Raw genomic sequence first — 26,249 nt, forward strand, 5'->3', positions numbered from 1 at the left:
ACCAGATACAAAAATTAACTCAGGATGGATTAAAGACTTAAATTTAAAACCCCAAATCAAAAAATCAAAGTGCCATGTTGCTACTGATGAAAGCTGGCTCAGAGGACATGGCTTAAGCATGTGAACACGTGGGTCCTAACACTCCACTCAGTTTAAGACCCTGTACAGATTCTTTGGACATACTGGACCACTTCAGGCCTTCCCTGCAAGGGCCATTTCCATAAGCTTATGTGTGAAGTTGCAGAGTCAGCCTCCCTCTGTAGCTGAGAGGACCAGACAGAGCTGAGTATTTTCAGGCCCTTCTCCCAAATGCAGCATTCAGTTAAGTTGGCTCCCCCAGGGATGAGAGTGTGAAGGGACATAAAGATGCTCCTGGAAGAAAATGCTAAGGGAACCCTCCCCAAATGAAGTGGTTAATCAACCCCTTCGATGGAAAACTAAGGGGACATGGGAAGGATATGTCCCCTCTGCTAACATTTCTTATCTTGGACCTGTGTGCTTTATGCTTTTCTGTAATATTGGAATACTTTATTAAGTGCCAGTGAAAAAGAATTTTATTTCCTTCTTTTTATTTCTTTTGATTGATCTTAGATATGAAAATTTTTATTGGGAAAGACTGTATATATATTTGGCTACTATAGCAGGCATATTAATTACCTATTGTGCCATAATCAATAATCCCATACTGCAGTAACTTAAAACAGCAATAAATATTTATTATTTCACATAGTTTCTGCAAGTCAAGAATTCAGGCCAGGCACGGTTGCTCATGCCTGTAATTCCAGCACTTTGGGAAGCTGAGGCGGGTGGATCACAAGATCAGGAGATCGAGGCCATCCTGGCCAACATGGTGAAACCCCGTCTCTACTAAAAATGCAAAAATTAGCTGGGCATGGTGGTGGGTGTCTGTATTCTGAGCTACTCAGGAGGCTGAGGCAGGATAATCGCCTGAACCCAGGAGGCAGAGGTTGCAGTGAGCCAAGATCACGCCACTGCACTCCAGCCTGGGCGACAGAGTGAGACTCCATCTCAAAAAAAAAAAAAAAAAAATTCAAGAGTGGTTTAGCTGGGTGGTTCTGCTGAAGTCACATAGCAAGTGGTGGAGCTGGAATTTGATCTCAGATCCATTAAATAAAGTTTAACTTCTCAAACAGTTCAAATCAGTAGTTCCCAGCTAATGCCTTTCCAAATCACCTGAAGAATCTAATTCAAATGTAGTCTGTTTCAGCAGGGTTTGGGTCAGGTGAGGTTCTGCATAGCTAACAATACCCCAATTATGCTATGCTGTTGCCAAGGGACCTCACAAGGAGGTAGTACATCCACTGCTAGTGGCTATACAAAGGAGTGAAGCCTTCTAAGTACAGTACCTGGCACAACGAATTGTCAAGCAAATGGCAAATCTTCTCTGCAGAGGGGAACTGAGACCCAGTACTCACAATCCATTCTGGAGTCTCCTCATAATCCTGAAGAGGGAAGCCCAGAGGAAATCATCTGGTGAGCTTATCTCATTCTTCTAAAAAAGCGATGAGGATTGGTTTGAGGAGAGCTGCAGTGGGAGGCTGAGAGTCAAAGCCACACTATTTCTGGAGGCTTCGTCCTTTTTCCTGGGATCAGACTCTACTTTTGTGCCATCATCCACCTTTGGGGAGGTCCATGAAGGTCATCTGCTTTTGGGGGTGCATTTGGGACCAGGCAGGAAGCTGCACTTCCCAACTTACCCAAACACAGCTTCTCAACGGGGGCTTCCAAGTTGGGGGAAGGGCTGTGCATGAAGCAGTCTGTGTGTGGGTGTTGGGGAGCTGAAGGGACATCCCCAGCTGGGCCAGGGAACTCTGGTCTCTCCTTGTTTGTCTCCTACAACTGTGGCAACAACACAAAGCCTCTCAGTATGTGCATATTGCTTTGTAGTATCTCTTAGAGAGACAAGATAATGACTATTTTTTCTTAGTTTATCCATGAAGTTAACATATAATACATTAATTGCATTTAGGAGCATTTATTCAACCAAGTGTAACTAGTAATTTCAAAAAATGCCCAATAATACTGATGTTACAGCACACTTGGAGTGCTTTGCTCCAGAAATACCAAGCATTTCCTCCGTTTGGCACTGGGGAGAATCCTGGCACTTTGCTTCAGAAACAAATCTCTTTAATTCCTGCGGACTCTGCATCAAGCCTGCATTGCTCTTTGTTTTTTCCAAGGCTAGGACCTGGGCTGTTTCCCTTCTTTCATCTTCAGATCACTTTAGCCACCCACCAATGTGATTTCTGAAAGCACTGTGTGAAAATTTGAGAATCATGTTGTGTAAACCAGTCTCTGTTTCATGGTAAACCTCTCTTCCCTCCACCCTCACAAAGCCCAGAGCCAGGGACAAAAAGGAATGGGAAAGTGGATTTGCCTTCCCCAAGACTTCCCAGCCAGGGCACAGGAAGATAACAATGCTACCACCCAGCATCTCCTAATCTCTCTAGAAATGAAAATGCTCTATCCCCTTCGCACTGCAAGGAAGAGGTGTGAGGCTCTCAATCCACACAGCTGGATATCAAAATCTTAAATGTTTTAAGAAAACAAGATGAGTAAGGTTAGAGAAGTGAGTCAGAAATGCCAAGTAGCAGATGTGAAAATGTGAGTAAACCACAGCCTCAGTGAACTAAAGGCTTTACAACAGAAGGTGCCAAAACTTTTTGATTCTCACATGTATGTTTGTCCATGTATCTCTGTGCTGTGGCTTGAATGTTTACGTCCGCTCCAAAATTTACGTGGAAATTTAATCCCCAATGCAACAGTATTAAGAGGTAGGGCCTTTAGGAGGTGATTAGTCTATGAAGGCTCCTCCCTCACCAATGGCATTAGCACCTTATAAAAGCATTAAAGGAAAATAGCTAGGCCCTTTGTGCTCTTGTGCCCTTCCACTATGAGAGGACACAGTGTTCGTCTTCTCTGGAAGAGACAGCATTTAAGGCACCATCTTCGAAGTAAAGACTGGGCCCTCACCAGACACTGAACCTGCTGGCATTTGGATTTTGAACTTCCCAGCCTCCATAACTGTAAGTAATACATTTACACTGTTTATAAATTACCCAGTCTGTGGAATTTTGTTATAGTAGCAGGACTGAACTAAGACACCCTCATATATTAATATATACATCTTAAAAATTATGTAATGGGAACTATAAAGAATAGGAGTTAAAGTCACCCTCAATGGAAGTTCCACTCTTTTTTCTCTACACCCTAATGCCTCCTCTCATGTTATCTCTGCAGTGCCTGCATCCCACTGTGGAGACTCCTGTTGTATTAATAATTAGGGCTGGGCAGACAGAGCTAAGCCTGAGGCTGGGTTGCTACTTTCTTACCCATATAACCTTGGGGAAATGACCTTTCTGAGACTTCTATTGAAGAGTCTGTAAAAGCAGATAATGATAGTACTACTTCCAGGGTTGTGGTGAGAATTCAGTGAGATATTGCATGGAAAGCATTTAGCACAATCCTGGTCCATGATAAATGTTTGATATTTGTTAGTAATAATTATTCAATGACTTGACGCTCCCAGTAAAGAAAAATTATCAAAACTTCAGAAATAAGGCAAGAGGATGAATGACTGTGTGCCTTTCAATGTCATAGCAGAGAGCTGTCCAATAGGCCTACCCAAGGTCATGTGACATTGTAGGGCAGGAACTTTGTCCGGCACAATTGGCTATTGATTTGCATCCAGTTCCCCTAAAGTTAGATATTAACTAACTAAGTTGCACATGATTTGGTCTACTAGAGGATGCAAATAGTTTTTGTTGAGTAGAACAGATAACCATAGAGGTTACGGTTATATTGCTTTTGTTTTTGCTTTGTTTCATATCTACTTTAGGAACTTGGTGGTGTCAACATCTTGTCTCTTACTAAGTATGTATTCATCTTGTGTATCCTCTTTTGAACCAGCTTTATCATCCTGCTGGTTCCCTCATTAATTAGGTAAATAATCTCTGACTTACATGCATTATATACTGAGTAAAGGAGCTGTATTCATATTATCATAGTTACATGATCTCCTTTATTTCAACTTCCCCATCAAGCTCTTGGCTACCAGGTGCCTCAGCCTACCCTGAAATACCTCCAAGGAAGATAATTTCCAAACTTATATCCACATCCTACCTTCCTTTTAAGGCAAGTTAGCATCTTATTTTAACTGTTTAATTCAAGAAGTATTTGCTGAAAAAAATAAAATATTAACTCTAATTGCTTTTAAGTGGTAGGATTTAGGATGATTTTTTTCCCATTTTCTATTTTACTATTGTCCACATTTGCTATATTAATGATGTACAGTACTTGTAATGAAAAGAGAAAAAAATGTAACTTCTAAAAAAGTGAGGACCTATTATATGCATGTCAACAGGTAGGACCCAGGAAAGAACACAATGGTGAATAATCCACTCTTCCTGACTTTGACAGTACAAAAGTGTAAAGCTATAAAACAGGACAGAATATAAGTACAGATTGGAAAATAACATATTGTGTCTGTGGGGAAAGGCTGAGGAGAGGATGGAAGGGAAGGAATTGTCTTGGAGGGGTAGCATCTGATAATCCCATTAATAGCTACTAGCTAGTATTTAATGTATATTTGTTACATGCCAAGCACCCTCCTAATTCCTTCACATGCACCTCATTTAACTTTCTTCTTTTTTTGTTATTGTGTTAAAAGGATGTTGTATAAGATTTACTGTCTTAAGCATTTTTAATTGCACGGCATAATAGTGTTAAGTATATTCACATTGTTGTGAAATGGATGTCCAGAACTTTTTCATCTTTCAAATTTGACACTCTATACCCATTAAACAACAACTCCCCTTCTCATCTCCCCTCAGCCCCTGGTAACTACCATTTTACTGTGTTTCTATGAATTTGGCTACTTTAGATACCAGAGATCAGTGGAGTCCTACTGTATTTTTGTGTGTGAGTGACTGGCTTATTTCACTTAGCATAGTGTCTTCAAGGTTCGTCCATGTTGTAGCGTGCAAAAGGATTTCCTTTCTTTTTAAGGCTGAATAATATTCCATTGTTTGTATATACCACATTTTGTTAATCCATTTATACATCGATGAATGGAATACATGGGTTACTTTCACTTTTTGGCCTTTGTGAATAATGCTGCTATGAACATGGTGTGCAAATACCTCTTCAAGATACTGCTGTCAATTATTTTGGGTATATATCCAGTAATGAGGTTGCTGGATCATATGGTAGTTCTATTTTTAAATTGTTGACAACCTCCATACTGTTTTCCATAGTGATTGTACATTTCACATTCCCACCAACAGTGCCCAAGCAATCCAATTTCTCCACAGCCTCACCAACACTTGTTATTTTCTGCTTTTTGACACCAGCCATGCAAATGAGTGTAAAGTGATATCTCATTGTGGTTTTGATTTGCATTTTTCTGATAATCAGTGATGCTGAGCATCTTTTCATATATTAGCCATTTGAATATCATATCATATTTAGAAAACCATCTATTCAGGTCTTTTGCCCATTTTCTGAGAGTTATTTGATTATTTTGTTGTTGAGTTATAGAAGTTCTTTATAAATTCTATATATTAATCCCTCATCAGATATATGATTTGCTAATATTTTCTACCATTCTGTAGGTTACCTACAGAATCTACAGTGATTGTGTCCTTTGATGCACAGAAATTTTTAAGTTTGACATAGTTCTATTTGCCTAATTTTTGCTTTTGTTGCCTATACTTCTGTTGTATCCAAGAAATCATTTTTCATATCCAAGAAATCATTGCCAAGTTCAATGTCATGAATATTTTCCCCTGTTTTCTTCTGGTAATTTTACAATTTTAGGTCTTACATTTATGTTTTTAATCCATTTTGAGTTAATTTTCTGTACGTGGTATAAGGTAAGGGCCCAACTTTATTTTTCGCATGCAGATATCCAGTTTTTCCCACACCATTTGTTGAAGAGATTTTTTTTCTTCCTCATTGAGGGGTCTTGGCATCCTTGTTGAAAATTACTTGGCCATATACATGAGAGTTTGTTTCTGAGCTACTATTCTATTCTATTGGTCCATTTGTGTTATGCCAGTGCCACATTGTTTTGATTACTGAAGCTTTGTAATGTTTTGAAATCAGGAAGTGGAAGTTCTCCAACTTTGTTATTTTTCAAAATTGTTTTGGTTATTGAGGTTCCCTTGAGATTCCATATAAATTTTAGGGCAAATTTTTCTATTTCTGCAAAAAATGCCATTGGGATTTTGATAGGGATTCTATTGAATCTATAGATAACTTTGGGTAGTATGACATCTTAACAATATTAAGTCCTCCAATCCATGAACATAGGATATCTTTTCATTTATTTGTATCTTCCTTAATTTATTTCAGTACTGATTTATAGTTTTCAGTGCACAAGTCTTTCACCTCCTTATTTATGTTTATTTCTAAGTATTTTGTTCTTTTTAATGTTACTAGAAATGAAATTGTTTTCTTAATTTTTTTGGTTTATTGTTAATGTATAGAAATGCAGCTGATTTCTGTATGTTGATTTTGTATCCTGCAACTTTTGCTGAATTAGTGTACTAGTTTCAATAAGGCTTTATTTATTTATTTATTTATTTGGTGTATATGGTATCTTTAGGACATTGTACAGATAACATTATGTCATCTGCAAACAGAGATCATTTTACTTCTTCCTTTCTCATTTGCCTTTTATTTCTTTTTCTTGTCTGATTGCTCAGGCTTTAATTCTCTTCGTTTTATGGATTAGGAAACTGAAGCTTTGAGAAGTTAATTAGCTTGCCTGAGGTAATCAGCTAAGCAGCAAAGTTAGAATAAAAACATGACTTTTGAACTCTACAGCTAGGAATTTAATCAATAGTGTTGAGTAGGGCTTTACCTGGTTGAGATGGGAAGGGTGGGGGCATTTGGGCAGATGGATTCTGACTTGTTTAATATGATCTGCTATATCTTTTAGAGATTGCCACATTCCAATCAATAAACTCAAAGATGCTGAAGCAAAACTATGCTGAGTATAATTTTCTTCTTTTGTTTGTTTGTTTTGAGATACGGTCTCACTCTGTAACTCAGGCTGGAGTGGCATGATCTAGGCTCACTGCAGCTTGGACCTCCTGGACTCAAGCAATCTTTTCCCCTCAGCCTCCTGAGTAGCTGGGACTACATCACCACACCCAGCTAATTTTTTTTTTTTTTTTTTTTTTTTGGTAGAGATGAGGTCTCACTACTTTGTGCAGGCTGGTCTTGAAGTCCTGGGCTCAAGCAATCCTCCTGCCTTGGTTTCTGAAAATGCTGAGATTACAAGTGTGAGCCACCATTCCCAATCTTTTTTGTTTGTTTGTTTTTTAGTGTTTTGGAAGACAATTTTTGTTCTAGGGTCAGTTCAAACAGCAGACTTAAATGGAATAAATTTGTACTGGCAACGAACATACTGTTAAAGTTGCCTTTGTGAATATACCCTTGATAGTCATTTGTATTCTTATAATTTTTTTTTTCTTTACACATAGACTCAAACTTTTAGAGCTGAAAGAGATCTTAGAGAGGAAACAAAAGGGGAAAAAAGGAGAACTTAAGTAATCCATTCCTCCCTTCCTTATTCTTTTCCTTCCTTCCTTTTGTAGAAGTAGTACATGCTGCTTAACTGTTTATAAAGCAACATAATTTAAAGAAGGAATTGCCTCCTGTTTGATGTCTGTTTCATCTTCACCATCTTCCTGTGGGTAAAACCACATTTAAAATTTGATGGGTCTCCATCTAGACTTAATTTCTATGCTTAGACATATACCACACACACACACACACACACACACACACACACAGTTGTGATATTATTTTTGTCCTCTTTTTTTTAACAAAATAACAAAAAAATGGTATCATACTATACCCAGAGGTCTGCAACTTGCCTTTTGTCCACTCTGAAAAAGCACAAATTCTATGTGTCTTGATTGAATTTCATTTATTGAAAAGATATCCCTAGACTCAACTAACATCTTCAGACACCATTTGCCCTGTAATGACTGAAACTCCATGGCAACATATAGTATCGCCAGTTACCAAAAAACAAATATTAACACCTCACTGCTGCAGACATTTAAAACCTTCATTTCCCAAGATTCCCATTTTTTGTGTTGTATGTGCATACTTAACTCCCAATGGAATCAACCGGAAAGTTGTCTTGTTTTCATTGTGGTTCAGGGCCATCCCCTAGTATGGTTTTTGGTAGAGGACTTAGGCCAAGAAAAGAGTAAAGGCTTAGTGAGAACCAAGTTCATTCATGCTCTAAAACAAAAGTGCCTACCATTTGCCCAGGCCTTATCTCCTGATCCTCCCTTTGAAGGAGCTGTTATTTTAAAATCATTAATCTCTAAAATGATACTCTCCCTGTTATGGCACTCACCCTATCACCAATTTACATCATGGAAAAAAATCAAGTCTTAAATATTTCACAATTACAATAATACCAGGCACATTGTTAAACATTTTTATGAATTATCTAATGCAGTCATCTGAACCATGTGTATAATATGTAATGTTACACAGCATTGTATATTCTCCTTATTTTACAGGTGAGGGAACTGAGACTTATGGAGCTTTTGTATCTAACCCACATCATAAAGCTTGTGAGGAAGCCAGAGTTTGAAGCCAAACAGCCTTGCTCTTATATTTTAAGTGACCCTAAAAATGAATTCCCAGGAGCTGTATTATCATGATGGGGATGTGGATGTTTAGGTGGCTGGGATTTCCTTCTATCTGGTTTCTTCAGAAAGGCATATTACATTGTTTGGAAGTCAATTGGTTTTGAAACAAGAACAAACCCCTTGATAGCCATATGGAGATTTGCTATTCTGCCTACACTTTAAATTAACCTTATTGATGGATTTCCTGCCAAGCTTAGTTTCATTTATTATGCATGTTCCTTTTGGTAGGTGGAAGGAAAAAATGTGAGAATTATCCTCTAAATAAAGCAATATATAAGCCAGGCTTATAAATTTTCTGAAATTTATTTTTATTTGCCAAGTGTTCTGTACTTTTCTGGGGGTAAGTGCGTTTATTAAGTAAAAAAGTATAGTGATATCTTGAAATAAGGATATTTTCGTAGTACACAACCGTGAGTGGATCTATTTTCTCTTTCATTCATCCTTGTCAGCTGAGGCCATTCCCAGCCAGCAGCTAGGGGTGAAGTGGTATCAAGATGGGTGAGCTGGTTTATTGTTTCTTTCTGAGTTAAAGAAATTTCAGCCTGAAATCCTATTCCTTTTGGATTCTAAAATGTGGCAACATATGAATGTATTAGAATAGTTGTCCTAAGACTTACTATAGGGCTGCAAGTCAGGACCAGGCTTCCCTGTATGTGATGTGGAAAATGAACACTCTGGAGTATTCTCATCTTGGGATAAAAAAATATGAATCAGAGAAGGGGAAGTAAGATAAAATGTCTTCATTTAATCTTTTCTGACATTACCGAAGGTGGCCAGTTGACAATGCTGTGTGTATGGTATAGCCTTGGCATTCGATGATGGGGAAAGAAGTGCAGGTCAGTGGTACTCATAAATAGCTATTTTGTAATTGTCCTATCTAAATGAAGCTGGACTTGGGAAAGGTGAGAAGTTCCCAAAACAATTCACAGCCCAGTGGTTGCTGTAAATCACTTGGAGCTCTGGATATTTCTGTCTGACTGGGAAGAATAATGACCCAGCTGATCAGTTACATATGTGGGTTTGTTCAGAGAATTTCTGATGGAATCTGTGATTCTAAACCCTGTCAGGTCCCACGCTCCCTTTTATAACAAATATTTGAACACCCCTTTTAGTATACTGGAATGAAATTTATATATGACACATTTAAAAATAAATATAACATCCTGTTATAACAGGAGAACAAAATAGAGAGTCATTTTTAATAAGATATGTATCTCAATTTGCAAATGCCGAGACAAGACTACTGTTTAAAGATAATTTTTTAAAAAAAGATAAAATCATGACTCTCACCCAGATATAAAAATGAGCATATGTTGTATATTTTAATTAACTCAAAATGAGGAACCAGGCAAATGTTATAACCTGTTTAAGAGACTAACCACATAATGGACACATTTATAGATCAGGAATATTGAAATGAATGTACAAATGAAGGCAAAACTAACTTCTTTAATAGTGGGGTAGAGAGGTCAATTGAACATTTACCAAATAGGTCAGAATTTGCATGTCTACAGACAAAAATTATTTTGCATTGTTCTCAGTTATCTATATTTTACCAAGTTGTAGCATAGTCTCCATGTAATTAGAACCAGATAACCTGGAGGGGTGTAGGTAGATGGTGCACAGTTCTCCATTGCAGCACACTCTATATTATCCCTAATGAAACTGTCAGACATTTGCAACTATAGGTAAAAACATGCTGAATGAGGCATCTATACAGGCAGACTGACTCAGTTGGCTGGATTGTCAGCCAGAATACCTTAAACAGTGATGGCTTCAGCTAGTTTCTGAACTTGGAACCAGCTCTTAGTAAATTTCTGAACAAAGAAAGTATACTCTTTCCTCACTTTACACCATGCCTGAACTCCTAGAAAATTCAGTGCTTTTTAAGACTGTTTGAAAACACTTTGTATGCATAATGGGGTTGGATTTTAGTTAAGATAATTATAAGTACGTTTTTCAGATAATTATTAATATGATAATTATAAACATACAAATATCTGGCAGGATGTCCAAAAGTTGTGGGGCATGCAGCAAATCCTTTATTTTGCAGGGACTCTACCATCTTAGTCCTACCCACCAAATGCAAGTGGTGTCCTTCCAAGCACTGTGACCACCAAAAAAACTCTGACAAGTTAATATACTCCCTAGGGATGGATAGTGCCCACATGGAGAAGCACTGTCATTGCTGAAATATGTTTGGGACCCATAGCTTTATTCCCACTTCCAACAAAACCGTCTGCTCAGCCGGGCAACTGTGGAGAAAGGCAAAGAGCCTTCTTGACCAGGGCTGTGCCAAAAAAAAATTCTTAATTAAAAAAATTGACTCATCCTTTCTGAATTCCTCTCTTCCGAGTTTAACTCTTCAACACGGTGAAAGACAAAGGAGGCCCCTCATTGAAAGTAACTCCCAGCCTACCCACCCCCAATCTATTTGACTGGAGTTTGCTTCTGCTTTTCTGAAGAGTTCTTGCCATTAAGACCTGTGGTATAGAGGCGGATGCAGACAGAAAATAGCACAGTCAAATAACCAAAGGGGACAGGCTGTTCACAAACTAAGTGAAGTGGTGGGACCATGTGTACCTGCCACGACTTGAGGGACAGCTGCCAATCAAACTCAACCTCATGTTGCCAGATCTTCTGATTTATTTCCAAGAGAAACTGGAAATCTGAAATATTTATATGTAATTATTCAGGTCTTAGATGTTAGCTGATATGTGTGTGTATACATATGTGTGGGTATAGACGGATAGACACATGCATCATGCATACATACTGTTCTTCATACTTAGACCCATGAATAAAAGAAACAATACCTTAGGTACAGACGAGGTCCCTCCTTTGAATCAGAATGAACACTGTGAGGTAGGTGTTATTTAGCCCCATTGCAGAGATGAAGGAATAGGAGTGTAGAGAAATTAAGCAACTTGCCTAAAGTCACACAGTCAGTAGCAGGACTGGAATTTTAATCAGGCCTGTTTTGCTTCCTGATACCACATTGCTGCCCAGTCTGTGAAGAGAACGCACCATCTATTAAAAGACCACAGGACATTGTTTTCTTCATTTTTTAATGACTCAAAGACAAAAAATTCAAACTATGAGCAATGTTTGCTGAAAGCAGCATTTATTTAAGTAAAGTTAACTTTTCTTAGAGCTTCTTGATCTGGCCCTGTCAGGAGCCTACAGGGCTTTTTGGAGAAGGAAGAGTGGATGGGTTTTGATAGTGTTTGCAGTGAGCTGGGTGAGTCATCTGCTGTGTGAGCCTGCCATCCATCAAAGCTGGTGATGAGAATGAATCCCTGGGGGTTGCTTGTGAAAAATGTTAAAAGCTTTAATTGAAAGGATCTCCAACTGAGGCCACAAGTAACTTTCTCATTGTGAATTCCTGTCTTGCCCCCAAATGCCCTGGGGCCCCACCAAATGGCAGGCCCAGGTCATTCTGATGTGCTTAAGCCATAAGCCTCTGGCAGGGCTTTGATGATGCTAGGCCTGGAGTCCTGTGCCACCCCCAACAGGGAGGGACACACTGTGAGAAATGTCATCTGTCAGGGTCTGCAAATTAAGCCAGCCTTATGGAAAGTGGGGAAGTTTAATGTTTAAAACGTCCTGATTGAAATGCTCACATGATGAAAAAGATGGGCTTGGTCACCTGAAAGGGCGTGTGTTGTACTAAGGCAGCAGGCACGGCACCTGAAGCTTCTCATTCGCTTCATGAGGTTCATAATGAACTTTTAGCCCTTTCCTTTCCTTTGTTTGTGCATCTGTCTATCCATTTGCTGCCCCAACTCAGTTCATGGTGTGACCCAGGCTGACATTCTGTTCAAATCAGCAGGCATTTCTCCTTCTAGAGTGGATGTGCTACTACTGGGAAGCTGTCATAGGCTTCCCCGGGCTGCTTAAGGGGAGAGTAGAGAAAAAGCAGTTAAGAATTCCTGTGTTAGAGCTCTCATCTAGAAGCTTTTCAAACAAGCAAACATCCTACCCCTTTAAAAAATGTTTTTATTACACCCATGATACATGCTCAATAAAGACAAAGTAGGGAGAAGAAAGACAAAAACAAAATAAAAAGTCTTGATCCCACTTCCTGAGAAATATGTGTGTGTTCAGGGTAAGCTGCAGGAGAAGGCAGCAGTGTCAGTGAAATGTCCTCTGAATCTAAAAAGAAGTTAGGCAAGAAATGGCCCCCAAATTCACTACTCTCTTCATACAGAGTCTGGCAGACGATGATCATGCAGTTCCCTAATCTCTCTGTGGATAAAATTTCTTTTGTTGATAGATAAGACTGGGAAAACAATTATTACTGGTATTTGGAATAATATAGTAAAAAGTTTAACAATTACCCACCAATATGTACTCTGAGCTTCAAATCCAAAGCAATTTAGGAACATTCTCTATGTATATTGCAAATCATATACCATTATGTGAGCCCTTGGGATGCTTAGGAGGGGAGGCAGAGAATACAAATGTGGAAATGAAATGCAGGGCAGCACAAATTGTGTAAATGAAATCTAGACTGTTTCTGGGAACATAATTTCATGAATAAAGATGATCTAGCATCTCTGAACTATGTATTTTAAGATTAATATTTCTCAATAGTACTTGTCAAAGTGAGTGGCAGTAGAATCCATAATAAGTACTTTATTGAATTATATTTAGTTTAAATATAAATGTAAAAAGGCACCATGAATTCTCATGTCAAATTATGTCACCCAAAAGTTAATTCGTTGTACCATGGTACAAAAAAAGAATTATTTTTAATTTGGCAAAATACAGGTTTGTGTTTCTAACAATTCAGTCAAAGACTTTTTTAAAATTAATACAATTTATTTTTAAACCAGTTTTAGGTTCATAGAAAAATTGAGCAGAAAGTACAGAGAGTTGCCATATCCCCCTGTCCCACAACCTCCTGTACTAATAACATCCCCTACCACAGTGGTACATTCATTACAATCAATGAACCTACACTGATGCATCATTAGCACCCAAAGCTCATAGTTTACGTTAGGATTCACTCTTGGTGTTATGTTTCTATGGGTTTTGTTAAATGTATGATGATGTTTATCAGTGTCTACTGCTGTAGTATCATTCAGAATCATTTCATTGCCCTAAAAATCTTCCATTGCCCTCCCTCCTCAACCCCGGCAACCACTGATCTTTTAACTGTCCCCATAGTTTTGCCTTTTCAGGAATGTCATATAGTTGGAATTATATAGTATGTAGCCTTTTCAGATTGGTTTCTTTCACTTAGTAGCGTGCATTCAAGTTGCCTCAATGTTTCATGGCTTGATAACTTGATAACTTATTTAGCTCTGAATAATATTTCTTGATAAGGATATACCACAGTTTATATCCATTCACCTACTAAAAACATTTTGGTTATTTCCAATTTTTGGCAATTACGAACAAAGCTGCTATAAACATCCATGTGCTGGTTTTTGTGTGGAGTTGCCAATTCCGTTGGATAAACACTGAGGAGTGTGATTGTTGGATCTTTAGGTAAGAATATGTGTAGTTTTGTAAGAAACTGCCAAACTGTCTTCCAATATTTGCATTCCTACCAGCAATAAATGTTGTCCTGTTGTTCCACATCCTTACCAGCATTTGGAGTTGTCAGTGTTTTGTATTTTGGCCATTCTAATACTTGTTTTAATTTGTAACTCTCTTATGAAATATGATGAACATCTTTATATATGTTCACTTTCCATATATATATGGAACAGACTATTTACATATATATCTATCTTCTTTGATTAGGGGTCTGTTCAGGTTTTTATCCACTTTTTAATAAGGTTGTTATTTTTCTATTGTTGAGTTTGAAGAGTTCTTCGTATATTTCATATAACAGTCCTTTATTATATATTTCTTATTTTCTAATATATGTGTCCAATTCAATAAATTTTCTTTTAAGCACTGCTTTTGCTGCATATTACACATTTTGATGTTTTATTTTAATTTTCATTTAGTTCAAAATGTTTTAAAATTTCTCTTAAGATTTCTTCTTTGACCCATATATTATTTGGAAGTATGTTGTTTAATCTCCAAGTACATTGGATTTCAGACATCTTTCTGTTATTCATTTTAGTTTAATTCCATTGTGATCTGAGAGTAGAAGTTGTATGATTTCTCATTTTTTAAATTTGTTAGGGTGTGTTTTATGTTCCACAGAAGTACTGTCATTCCCCTCATAATGACGTTTCAGTCAACAAAGGACCACATGTATGACAGTGGTCCCATCAGATTATAATGGAGCTGAAAAATTCCTATCACTTAGTGATGTTGTAATATCATAGCATAACACATTACTTTTCTATGTTTAGGTATGTTTAGACACACAAATACTTATCATTGTCTTACAGTTGCCTACAGTGTTCTGTACAGTAATATGCTCTATGGATTTGTAGCCCAGGAGCAATAGGCTACACCATTATAACATAGGGGCATAGTAGGCTGTACCATCTATGTTTGCATAAGTATACTCTATGATGTTTGCACAATGATGAAATTGCCTGACGATGCGTTTCTCAGAACATATTCCCATTGTTACGTGACGCATGACTGTAGTCTATAGATGTCAATTATATCCCGTTGATTGATGGTGATGTTGAGTTCAACTATACCCTTACTAATTTTCTGCCTGCTGGATTTGTCCACTTCTGATAGATAGGTGTTAAGGTTTCCAACTACAATAGCAGACTCATCTATTTCTCTTGCATTTCTACCAGTTTTTGCCTCAGGTATTTGACATTTGGTTGTTAGACACATACACATTAAAGATCGTTATGTCTTTGTGATGTATTGATCCTTTTATCATTATGCAGTGCCCCTTTTTATCCCTAATATCTTTCGTTGCTCTGAAGCCTGCTCCTTCTGAAGTTAATATAGCAACTCCTCCTTCTTTTGATTAGTGTTAGCCTGGTTTATCTTTCTCTATTTACTTCTAATCTACATGTTTCTTTATATTTTAAGTGGGTTTCTTATAGGCAACATGAAGTTGGGTCCTTTTTTCTATCCACTCTGAGGATCTTTGTCTTTTAATTAGTGTAGGTAGACCATTGACATTTAAAGTGATTATATCTACCATATTTATTACCATTTTCTATTAATTTCTCTTGTTCTTTGTTTCTATTTTTATCTTCCTCTCTTTTCTACCTCTTATGGCTTTAATTGAGCATTTTATATAATTCTATTTGCCCCTTCTTAGCATATACATTATACTTTTATCAGATAACATTGTACCAATTCATGGATAGTGTGAATAACTATTTTTGTTTGTTTTTGAGAAAGGGTCTCGTTCTGTCACCCAGGCTGGAGTTCAGTGGTGCAACCATGGCTCACTATAACCTCCACCAACCTCCCAGGCTCAATCAATCCTCCTGCCTCAGCCTCCCAAGTACCTGGGACTGCAGGCATGCATCACCATGCCTGGCTAATTTTTGAATTTTAATCTCTTATAATAACAAAATACTTGTAATTCCTCCCTCCCGCATCTTGTATCACGGCTGTCTTTTTTTTTTTTTTTTTTTTTTGAGATGGAATCTTGCTCTGTAGCCCAGGCTGGAGTGCAGTGGTGCAATCTCAGCTCACTGCAAGCTCAGCCTCCCGGGTTCATGCCATTCTCCTGCCTCAGCTTCCCGAGTAGCTGGGAGTACAGGTGCCCACCACCACACCCGGCTAATTTTTTGTATTTTTAGTAGAAATGGGGTTTCACCATGTTAGCCAGGATGGTCTCGATCTCCTGACCTCGTGATCCGCCCGCCTCGGCTTCCCAAAGTGCTGGGATTACAGGCGTGAGCCACCGCGCCCGACCCACTGCTGTCATTTTACTTATATATTGGCATATAGTTGAACACATTGTTGCTGTTATTATTTTGAACTGACTGTTAGATCAATTAAGAATAAGAAAAATAGGCTGGACAAGTTGGCTCACGCCTGTAATCCCAGCATTTGGGAGGCCGAGGCAGGCGGAACACGAGGTCAAAAGATGGAGACCATCCTGGCCAACATGGTGAAACCCTGTCTCTACTAAAAATACAAAAACAGATTAGCTGAGCATGGTGGCGAACGCCTGTAGTCTCAGCTACTCAAGAGGCTGAGGCGGGAGAATCGCTTGAATCCAGGAGGCGGAGGTTGCAGTGAGCCGAGATCGCACCAGGGCACTCCAGCCTGGCGACAGAGCGAGACTCCATCTCAAAAAAAAAAAAAAAAAAAAAAAAAAGGAAGAAGAAGAAAAAAAGAATAAGAAAATAAAATGTTTGTTTTCCTTTCACTTAATTCTTCTCTGAAGTTCTTCTTTTCTTCACGTAGGTCCAAGTTTCTGACTTATATTATTTTCCTTCTCTCCGAAGAACTTATTTTTAACATTTCTTGCAAGACATGTCTGCTGACAACAGATTCCCTTAGTTTTTGTTTCTCTGAGAGAGGCTTTATTTCTCTTTCACTTTTAAAAGATGATAATTTTTCAGGGTAAAGAATTCTAGTTTGGCAGTTTTTTCTCTCAACACTCAACAATTTATTTTACTCTTGCGTGCCGGGTTTCTGAGGAAACGTTGGATATAATTCTTATTTTTGCTTCTCTGTAGGTAAGGGGCAGCTGATCCCTGAACAATATGGGTTTGAACTGCACGGGTCCACTTATACACAAATTTTTTCCAATAAATATATTGGACAATTTTTTGGAGGTTTGCAACAATTTGAAGAAACTTGCAGATGAATTATGTAGCCTAGAAATATTTTTAAAATTAAGAAAAAGTTAGGCATGGTATGAATGCATAAAATATATGTAGATACTAGTATATTTTGTCATGTATTACTATAAAATATACATATATTATAAAAAATTAAAATTTATCAAAACTTACATAGACTGTACACGGTGTCATTTTTAGTCAAGAGAAATGTAAGCAAATGAAAAGATACAGTATTAAATTATAACTACATACAATTAATTGTAGCACATCCTATACTACTGTAATAATTTCAATGCCATTCCCTGTTGCTGTCATGGTGAGCACAAGTGCTGCGTGTGTCCACTTAAAACATCATGTGATGCTAATCATCTCTACGTGAGCAGTTTACCTCTCCAGTAAATTGTGTATCACAGTAAAAAAGTGATCTTTTGTGGTTCTCACATATTTTTCATTTTGTTGAGTGCATACCGTAAATCTTGAATAATACCATGGGACCCATACAAAGTGCCACTAGTGATACTGGAAGTATCCCCAAGAAGCACAGAGAGGTCATGACATTACAAAACAGTTGAATTGCTTGATATAAGATTGAGGTCTGCCGCTGTGTTTGCCCACTGCTTCAGACAGATAATTCATCTTATAAACAGATAACATAAACTTATGGTATTAATAAATACAGTACAATAATGTACTGTAAATGTATATTAAATGTGTTTTCTCTATCTTATGGTATTCTTAGTAACATTTTATTTTCTCTAGCTTATTTGTAAGAATACAGTATATAATATATACCACATACAAAATACATGTTAATCAACTGTTTATGTTATCAGTAAGGCTTCCAGTCAATAGTAGGCTATTTCAAATCCATGTTCATTAACCCAGAAATCATACCAAAAACAATGTCATCAATATCATACCCTGTCCCTATCCTCTATAGGAGAAATAAACTCCCCTTTCCCTGAAAATAAAAATCTAATCTGCTGAAAATTAAATGATAGGTTTTGTACCATAGTGGTAGTATCAAGGGGTGAAACATACATTGACATATCAGTCAATATACCTGTCCCCCTGCATTGTAATTATTTGCTGATTGCCTGTCTTTCCTGTGAGACTGTCAGCTTCTGAAGGACAGAGACAAGGCTTGTTTGATAACTCTCTGGCACATAATAGGCGTTTCGATATACACATGTTGAATGTATCATTGCTTCATCAGATGTGTTAAGTGTGAACCAACCTCACTAAGTTATTAAGCACCTACTTGGGATAAGGCTGCAGGTTGGATACTTTGGATATATAAAGATGAGTAAAGTTTGTTCTCTGCCTTCAAAGGCAATCATTATAGCAGGATGTCCTTGTCAAGTTCCTATCCCCTTGACCACCCCCTTCCCTTCACAGGTGGGAAGTCCCCTAGAGGCTATAACTTCTAGCATTTTTTGACCTGAAGGCATTCTTTAGCTTTAGAGCAGCTCAGTGCCTTATAGGTGGATTGTAAGTGCCAGAGACTTAGTCTCCAGAACAACTCACCACCGATGAAGGTGGCAGTTCCTTGCTCTTCAGTAGGACACTGAGCATGTTCCACTCAGACTCAGAGCATTCCCAATGGTGCTGAGCCCTCTTTGCTCATAGCAGTAATCTGCTCATTAAAGCACTCTTTTTTTGGCTTTTTCTCCATTCTTGGTCTCACTTCCTACTCCCTCACAGTGTTTCCTGGGATCTCCTCCTGAATAAATTCTCATACCCAAATCCTTTACTCAGGGCCTGCTTTCAGGAGCATCATTAGAACTGAGCAGGATAAGACAGGCCAAGAGAATGCAGAGGAGGAGGGGATTAATTCTAGCTGGAGAAGACTTGGCATTATTTGAATTGGGTTTGGGTGGGTGCAGTGAGTGCAAAGGAGAGATGCTTCAGGCACAGAGGAGCTGAAGCACACAGAGTGCTCAAGGAAATGTAAGCAATTAGGTCTGGAAGGAATGTGGGTAGGGGGGCATCTCAGACTCTCCTGGAAGGTACTCCAGAGCCCCGTGCATCCCAGCAAGGAGCCAGATTTCTCCTGCTCCTTTCATCCTAAACTTCAGCTCAAGTTACTCACCCTTCTTATACTGGGACTCTGAAATGTCCACATAGTCCCCTTTTGGTAGGAAAATCTAAATACAGAAAAGGACACGGCTACTGCATGTAATCTGTGAGAGCAGCCGTAAGAAATCACTGACCAACCCACTATCTTTTTTAAGCATGGTTCTTTCTTTCTGTCTCTAGATTTTAATTCACATTTTCTGAGTTCCCATGACATACTCTGCGTTAGTATTTTGCTATTTCTAAGAGCTTATATTCTAAATACAGTCTCCACAACTCAATCTAGACAAGAAACTTCCTTGCCTTCTGTTAGAGGCTAATCTTTAATTTTTTTAAAAAGGAATAGTGTGTCAGAAGATCAAAGAAAATGACCCGAGTTTACTCTACATTGGAGTCCACTCTATTACCCACAAGCAAGTACAATGTGTATGTATAATCTCACTCATTCTCTCTCCCCTTGTCCTGAAAATCATTTCCCTCTCATGAACTGTTCTGATGAGTCATTTCATCTCCAGTACTGACTCAATTATACACTCTCGCCATGATCAACAACTGCTAAATTGGTTGTAAACCCCAGAATGGGAGCTGAAAAACCAAAAACTAGAGGTGTGGCAGGAGGACAGGAGTGGAATAATTTGGTCATTTTCCCAGCAGAGGAAAGTTGGTTTAGGAAAGACAAAATGAGTACTTCTGGAATAGGTATACAATATTGGAAAATAACAGAGAAATTAAAGAAGTTATTAAAGCTCACAAGAGGATTTGGTGAGAGAACACTACTCATTTCAGCTCAGCATGAGCCAGTTTGCATTATTATGTTTTGCTCTATACTTAGTCTTGGAGAAAGCCACAAATTACAATGGTTAAATAAAGCTTTAGAAAATGGAAAATAGCAACATTGCAAGTACAGAACGCTACTGGGGTAGAGCACCCTCCAAACTGGGGTGGCTGTAGTGAACTTCTAAAATCCCTCCCTCGTTCTCCCACCCCCAGGAATTTCAGCCATGTCCTTTATAAATCCCCATTACTGTAATATTGTTTGTGTAATAAATACAGCTTTGTTTAGTTTTTAAACTCGGAATTTCTACCAAAGGCTGGGAGAGAAAGAAAGCTGCTGGGTTACCTGCAGGTTGAGTATTTTGGGAAGAGATTAATTTGAGGCATACCTGGATCCAGAAGGGAATGATGATGATAACATTTATTGAGCTCTTTGTATGTCTGAGACATACTCTATAGATGTATTATGTGTTAACTAACGTAGCCTCATAACAACCTTATGAGATAGTACTGTTCCTATCCCATTTTATATATGAGGAGACTGGAGCACACAAAGGCTAAGTAATTGGCCCAAGGTCACATGGCTGGTGAGTGGCAGAACCAGGATTTAGTCTGGCTCCAGAGCCTGTCTTCTTAATGACCATACTGTAATGCCTCAGAGACATAAATATTTGTGTCCTCCAAATTCATATGTTGAAACCCCATCCCTCAATGTGATAGTATTTGAAGACGTAGCCTTTGGTAGATAGGTTTAGATGAGACCACAAAGGCAGATTCTCCATGATAGGATTAGTGCCCTTATAAAAAGGAGAGGAAACCAGAGCACACTCCCTACCCCCACCATGTGAGGACAACCATCGGCAAACAGGGAAGAGGGCCCTCACCAGAAACTGAATCTGTCTGCACCTTGATCTTAGACTTCCAGCCACCAGAACTGTGAGAAATAAATATCTGTTGTATGAACTACCCACTCTATGGTATTTTGTTACAGTAGCCTGAACAGATTGAGACAGACCACCAAGCTGTTATTATACAATTAAGCTTTTACTCAGGAATTCTAGGAAGAGGCATTTTAGCTCAGATCCAGGAATTTATTTCGGGTGCTTCTCTGCTACTTTGCTTCCTGCAGGATGGGGCTGAGTCACAGAGCCCACTGGGCCCAATGGTCGTGGAGAATAGATTCAAGACCAGGAGCCACACTTCCATGGGAAACTGAGTAAACTGAAGCTTGGTAAATTTGAGATTATCGGTGGGCCAGCCTATTTGGGTAGAGTGTGTTCCAAAGTGAAACAGCAGTTATGAGCTAGACTTGCAGCAGTTTGAATCTGGATGGGAGTGTTGAATGAGGAGGAGGGATGAGCCAGTGGTACTAAGAAGACCCCTCTCACCTCATTCCCAGAGAGGTGGTACACATCAAGATCTATGCTACATATAAGGAGATGTATATTGAAGTGGCTCAGCATGTCCCTCTCAGATTTTCAGAGTCCCAGTCCCAACTGGGTTTAACTCCAACTCAGTTTTTTTTAGGTTGAGTGCATATTTAGTGGCATAAATGCAGCACAACTTACTCAACTCTTTTTCATTGAAAGACATTCACTTTGTTACCAAATTTTTGCCCGAAGAACAATGCTATCATAATATCTCAATGCACATATGTTCTTAAGTATGGATAATTTTACTTCTAGGGAATAGATTCCAAGAAGTGGGGTTTTTAGGAGAAAGAATATTTTTAATTTGTAAGGTATTTTCAGGTTTGCTTTCTAAATAGGTTCTAGCAAATCACTCTCCATGGCTACTGTAGGGGCATATTTGCCTTTCTTCTTGCAGCATTCTTTCCAAGTTTAGGGCATTCTTCTCAAGGAGATGCCAGAGACTCACTTTACCAACATTCCCTGCAGCTTGAGTGTGGACATGTGACCTAGGTCCTGCTATTCAGACACCACAAAACTTCACTGTAATGAGGCAAAGACACAGGCCTGCACAGAATCCAAACTGGTGAGCGGACTGGAGATACTTCCAGCTTTCAGACACAGCAGTGGCAGTCATCCCTTGTTCTGGAAACTCTGCTGCTCTAAGACAGGGATATCTTGTCAACACTGTCAACACCTCAGCATTAAGAATTAATTGAACTTCTTTTATATGCAATCGCTTCTATCTATCCCATTGCCTCTACCTGAGTTGTGGGCCACCATGACCTCTTGCTGAGACAGCAGTAACAAACTTCCAACTGGTCTCACAGTCTCTAGAATCCATTCTCCACCTTGCAGCCTAAATGGTTTTCTAAAATTCAAATCTCGCCATGCCAGTCCCCTGCTTTTAAAACCTTTCATTTTTTTCCCTTTGCCTCCATCCTCCTTAGGCTGACCCTCAAAACTCCCCAAGAGGTGACCTTTGCTTTCCTCCCCGGGCACATCTCTTTCCTCCCTTCACATTCTACTGTCTGGTCATACTGCATATTTTTTCAGTTCCTGGATTGTTCCATGCTCTTTCTCACCTGTGCTTTTGCAAACACTGTCCTAGCCTCTACTTTTTCTCCTTCTCCTTTGCTTGCCTAAATTCTTTTTTCTGATTGTCAGCTAAGAGGTTACTTCTCTGACTATACAATACTAAATTAGGTTTCTCTTTGCTAGGTTACCAGAGTGCTCCACAGTACCCCATAGTTCTATTTATTTTTGTTTTCCACTAAGCTGCTTGAAGGCAAGGATGATGCCTATTTTCTTCCTTGTTGCACATTCCATATCTAGAGTACTGCCTCATGCATAGAAGGTAATACATAAAAATTTGATGAATTAATAAATAGATAAAACAGATACTATTGTCACCAATTTACTCACAGGGAAATTGAGGTTTTGTTAGTCCTGGATCTGGAACTAGAACATAGAACTTCTGATTCCTGATATATTTTCAACTATTCCTCATTGCCACCTTCAAATATAGTTCAACACTCTCATAGGCTTAATAAACACTATTATGATGGGCAACTACTCTGCAAGGCAGGTTTCTCAAGCTTTGCTGTTTGCTGTATCGGGCTGCCAGTGTGTTGGAAGGTATTTGACATCATTCCTGACCTCTATCCAGTAGATGCTAATAGTAACTTCCTCACTCCAGTTGTCTTCAGACATTGCAAAATGTCCCCTGAGGGGCAAAATAGCCTCCCAATAAGAATGAGTACTCTAAGGATACCAGGCACCATTTAATACATCTCTATAACTTTGGGTTGAGAATATAAGTTTCAGCACAGACATATTCCAGGTGGAAAGATGAAAGACAAGGACATATCTAAATATTGACTTTGAGTCTTATAAATACAGGTCTTAACCTCACTGATCCTCAGTTTTCTGATTTGCAAAACAGAGATAATAACACCCAAAATTGTGCGAAGGATTAGAGAGAATGTATATAAAGTACTCAGTAAGTTTGTTGATGAAAAAAAAGTCAAACTTTAAAATATTTAAAGAGATTTATTCTGAGCCAAATATGAGTGACCATGGCCCAGGGCACATATTTTGGGATGGTGCCCTGGGCCATGGTCATTCATATTTGGCTCAGAATAAATTTCTTTAAATATTTTACAGAGTTAGGCTTTTTTGATCAACATTAATAGGCAGACATAACCAAAAATAAAAATCTAAGGCTCCCAACAGACTGAATGGACCTCCTTCTTGGCCAAGGGAGTCCCAAAGAAACCTGAAAAGCTAGTTCAGGCCATGAGGGGAAGGGTGGTATGTTATAACCCCCTCCCTTTAGAGTTTAGGCAAAACTGACTGGCATTAACATTAAAATGGAGATCATAAGACTGACAACACAGACTCTCTGTGGCAATACAAAACCAAATTCCCACCTGACTCAGGTATAGCATCACATGGCACATAGCAGACCCTGAAGGAAATCAAAAGTATTTTACCCCAAAATATATTTCATTCACATATTTTGAAACGGTCCTCAAAGCTGTCTCTTGAGAGAGAAATTTGCATTCTGTAGAGAATCTCCTTCCCTTTCTAGGTCTTTTCCTGATCCAGGAGAGATTTGCCTGAGAGTCTGATACTTTTAAGGTTTGAAAAGAGACGTTTACCGTCTACTCTCTCTGAAGCCTGCTGTTCAAAGGCTTCATCTACATAGCAAGAACATTGGCTTCCACAACCCCCTTTCCCTCTTATCTTAACTTAAGCATTTCTTTCTGCTGACTTCAACCATTTAGGCAAAGCTGAACTCTTTCAACTAATTGCCAATCAGAAAATCTTTGAATCCACCAATGACCTGTAAGTACCACCTTCCCTCTCCACCTTTGAGATGTCCCACTTTTCCAGGCTGAACCAGTGTATACCTTATAGGTATTGATTTATTGATTTATGTCTTCACCTGTAACTTCAGTCTCCCTAAAATGTATAAAACCAAGCTGTAACCCAACCACCTTGGAAACATGGTCTCAAGACCTCCTGGGACTATGCCCACCCTGGGTCATGGTCACTCAGATTCGGTTCAGAATAAGCCTCTTTAAATATTTTAGAGTTTGGCTTTTTGTTTGTTTGTTTGTTTTTGTTTTGGTCAACAAGTTACATTATCTAAACAACTGCTTTCTTCTGGCCAATAACTAGTGGGTTAACTCACCAAAGCATGCATAAAGAGGAAACACAACCTAAGAGAGGGACTGGATATTGGATATTCAGGGTGACGTGGTATGGGTTGTATGACAGAAGGCTTTGGCATTCTAGGAGACATAGAAAAAAAAAGCCCCATATTCAGTAATAAAAACAAGTATTACTATTTGAACTGACAAGCTTTTGGGCATGCAATCTCTGATTTATTCTATCCTCATTTCATGGTTTTATGAAGAAAAGGGCAAAGTCATGTTTAATGATCAGTTGCTATTTTTTAAGTAGGATTACACACTCAAAGTTGGGGATGGGGGATATTTCAAGATCTATCAAAAATGGGAGCAGGTGAATTGGCAATTGCTCACCCTCCCTCTCCATTATGAATTTTAATGCAATTTTCATTTAGTGATTGACATACTGTATTTGTGCTCAAGATTACTTCAATTTTCTTCCTTCCTTTCTTTCCTTCCTTCCTTCCATCTTTCTTTCCTTTCCTTTCTTTCTTTCTTTCTTCCTTCCTTCCTTCCTTCCTTCCTTCCTTCCTTCCTTCCTTCCTTCCTTCCTTCCTTCCTTCCTTTCTTCTTTCTATTGATGGAGTCTCTCTCTGTTATCCAGGCTGGAGTGCAGTGGCGTGATCTCCACTCACTGCAACCTCCAACTCCCAGGTTCAAGCAATTCTCATGCCTCAGCCTCTCGAGCAGCTGTTATTACAGGCACATGCTACCATACCTGGCTAATTTTTGGATTTTTAGTAGAGACGGGATTTCACCATGTTGCCCAGGTTGGTCTCGAACTCCTAGCCTCAAGTTATCCGCCCGCCTCGGCCTCCCAAAGTGCTGGGACTACAGGTGTGAACCACCGCACCCAGCCCAATTATGACAATTTTCAATAGCAAGTCTAAAAAAAATATTTTTCTTCTAAGCATCTACCATCTTTACTGACTTGCTACGTTGACATAACAATGATGCTCCAGAAAAATGCTTCCTAGGGAATTCCACATGGTATAGCTTGTGGGTTCAAAGGATTAAACTAAAAGGACAATGGCATCTCCTAGCTAGGAGTACAATTTACCAGTACTGAATCCTCTGGCTCCATAGAGCTTCTGCTTCTTCTTCTTTTCCTTCTTTTCCTCCCTCCCTTTCTCCTTTTCTCCTCTCTCCTTTCCCTACCTGGGACTTTAGAACTGCTTTCTCTCCTTCAACACTAGAGAGATACTCCAACATGCAAGCTTTGCCACAGACCTAGGTCCTCTTACTTAGGTTTAAAGAGATCTACCTCCTGAACCCTCAATCTGAAAATGTAGGGCAAAAAATATTAACCAAAAGACTTAAAATGTCCACTATTAATAGTAGCCCGAACCTGAAAACATCCCAGTGTTCATCACGGTAGAACGACTAAATTTTAGTAAAGTCACA

The 26,249-nt window shown here is 38.7% G+C and overlaps 1 long non-coding RNA gene across 1 annotated transcript in view, besides 1 other annotated feature; it reads left to right on the forward strand.

Moving 5' to 3' along the window:
* The first annotated feature begins 1,339 nt into the window (after positions 1-1,339).
* The window catches only part of LOC105374313 (uncharacterized), a 54,559-nt gene continuing 29,649 nt past the window's right edge, over positions 1,340-26,249 (forward strand). Inside the window, exon 1 of the long non-coding RNA NR_136187.1 lies at positions 1,340-1,494. This is a non-coding gene — a long non-coding RNA (uncharacterized LOC105374313). The remainder of the gene's footprint in view (positions 1,495-26,249) is intronic.
* Positions 11,754-12,342: an enhancer, noted in NCBI's record as "NANOG-H3K27ac hESC enhancer chr3:149824644-149825232 (GRCh37/hg19 assembly coordinates)". NCBI's record gives its function as "activates a minimal SCP1, AML or CMV promoter by ChIP-STARR-seq in naive H9 embryonic stem cells {active_cell/tissue: H9 hESC(naive)}" and the evidence as "EXISTENCE:reporter gene assay evidence [ECO:0000049][PMID:30033119]".

The sequence above is a fragment of the Homo sapiens genome, chromosome 3 (assembly GCF_000001405.40).
Source record: "Homo sapiens chromosome 3, GRCh38.p14 Primary Assembly".
Classification (NCBI taxonomy): Eukaryota; Metazoa; Chordata; class Mammalia; order Primates; family Hominidae; genus Homo; species Homo sapiens.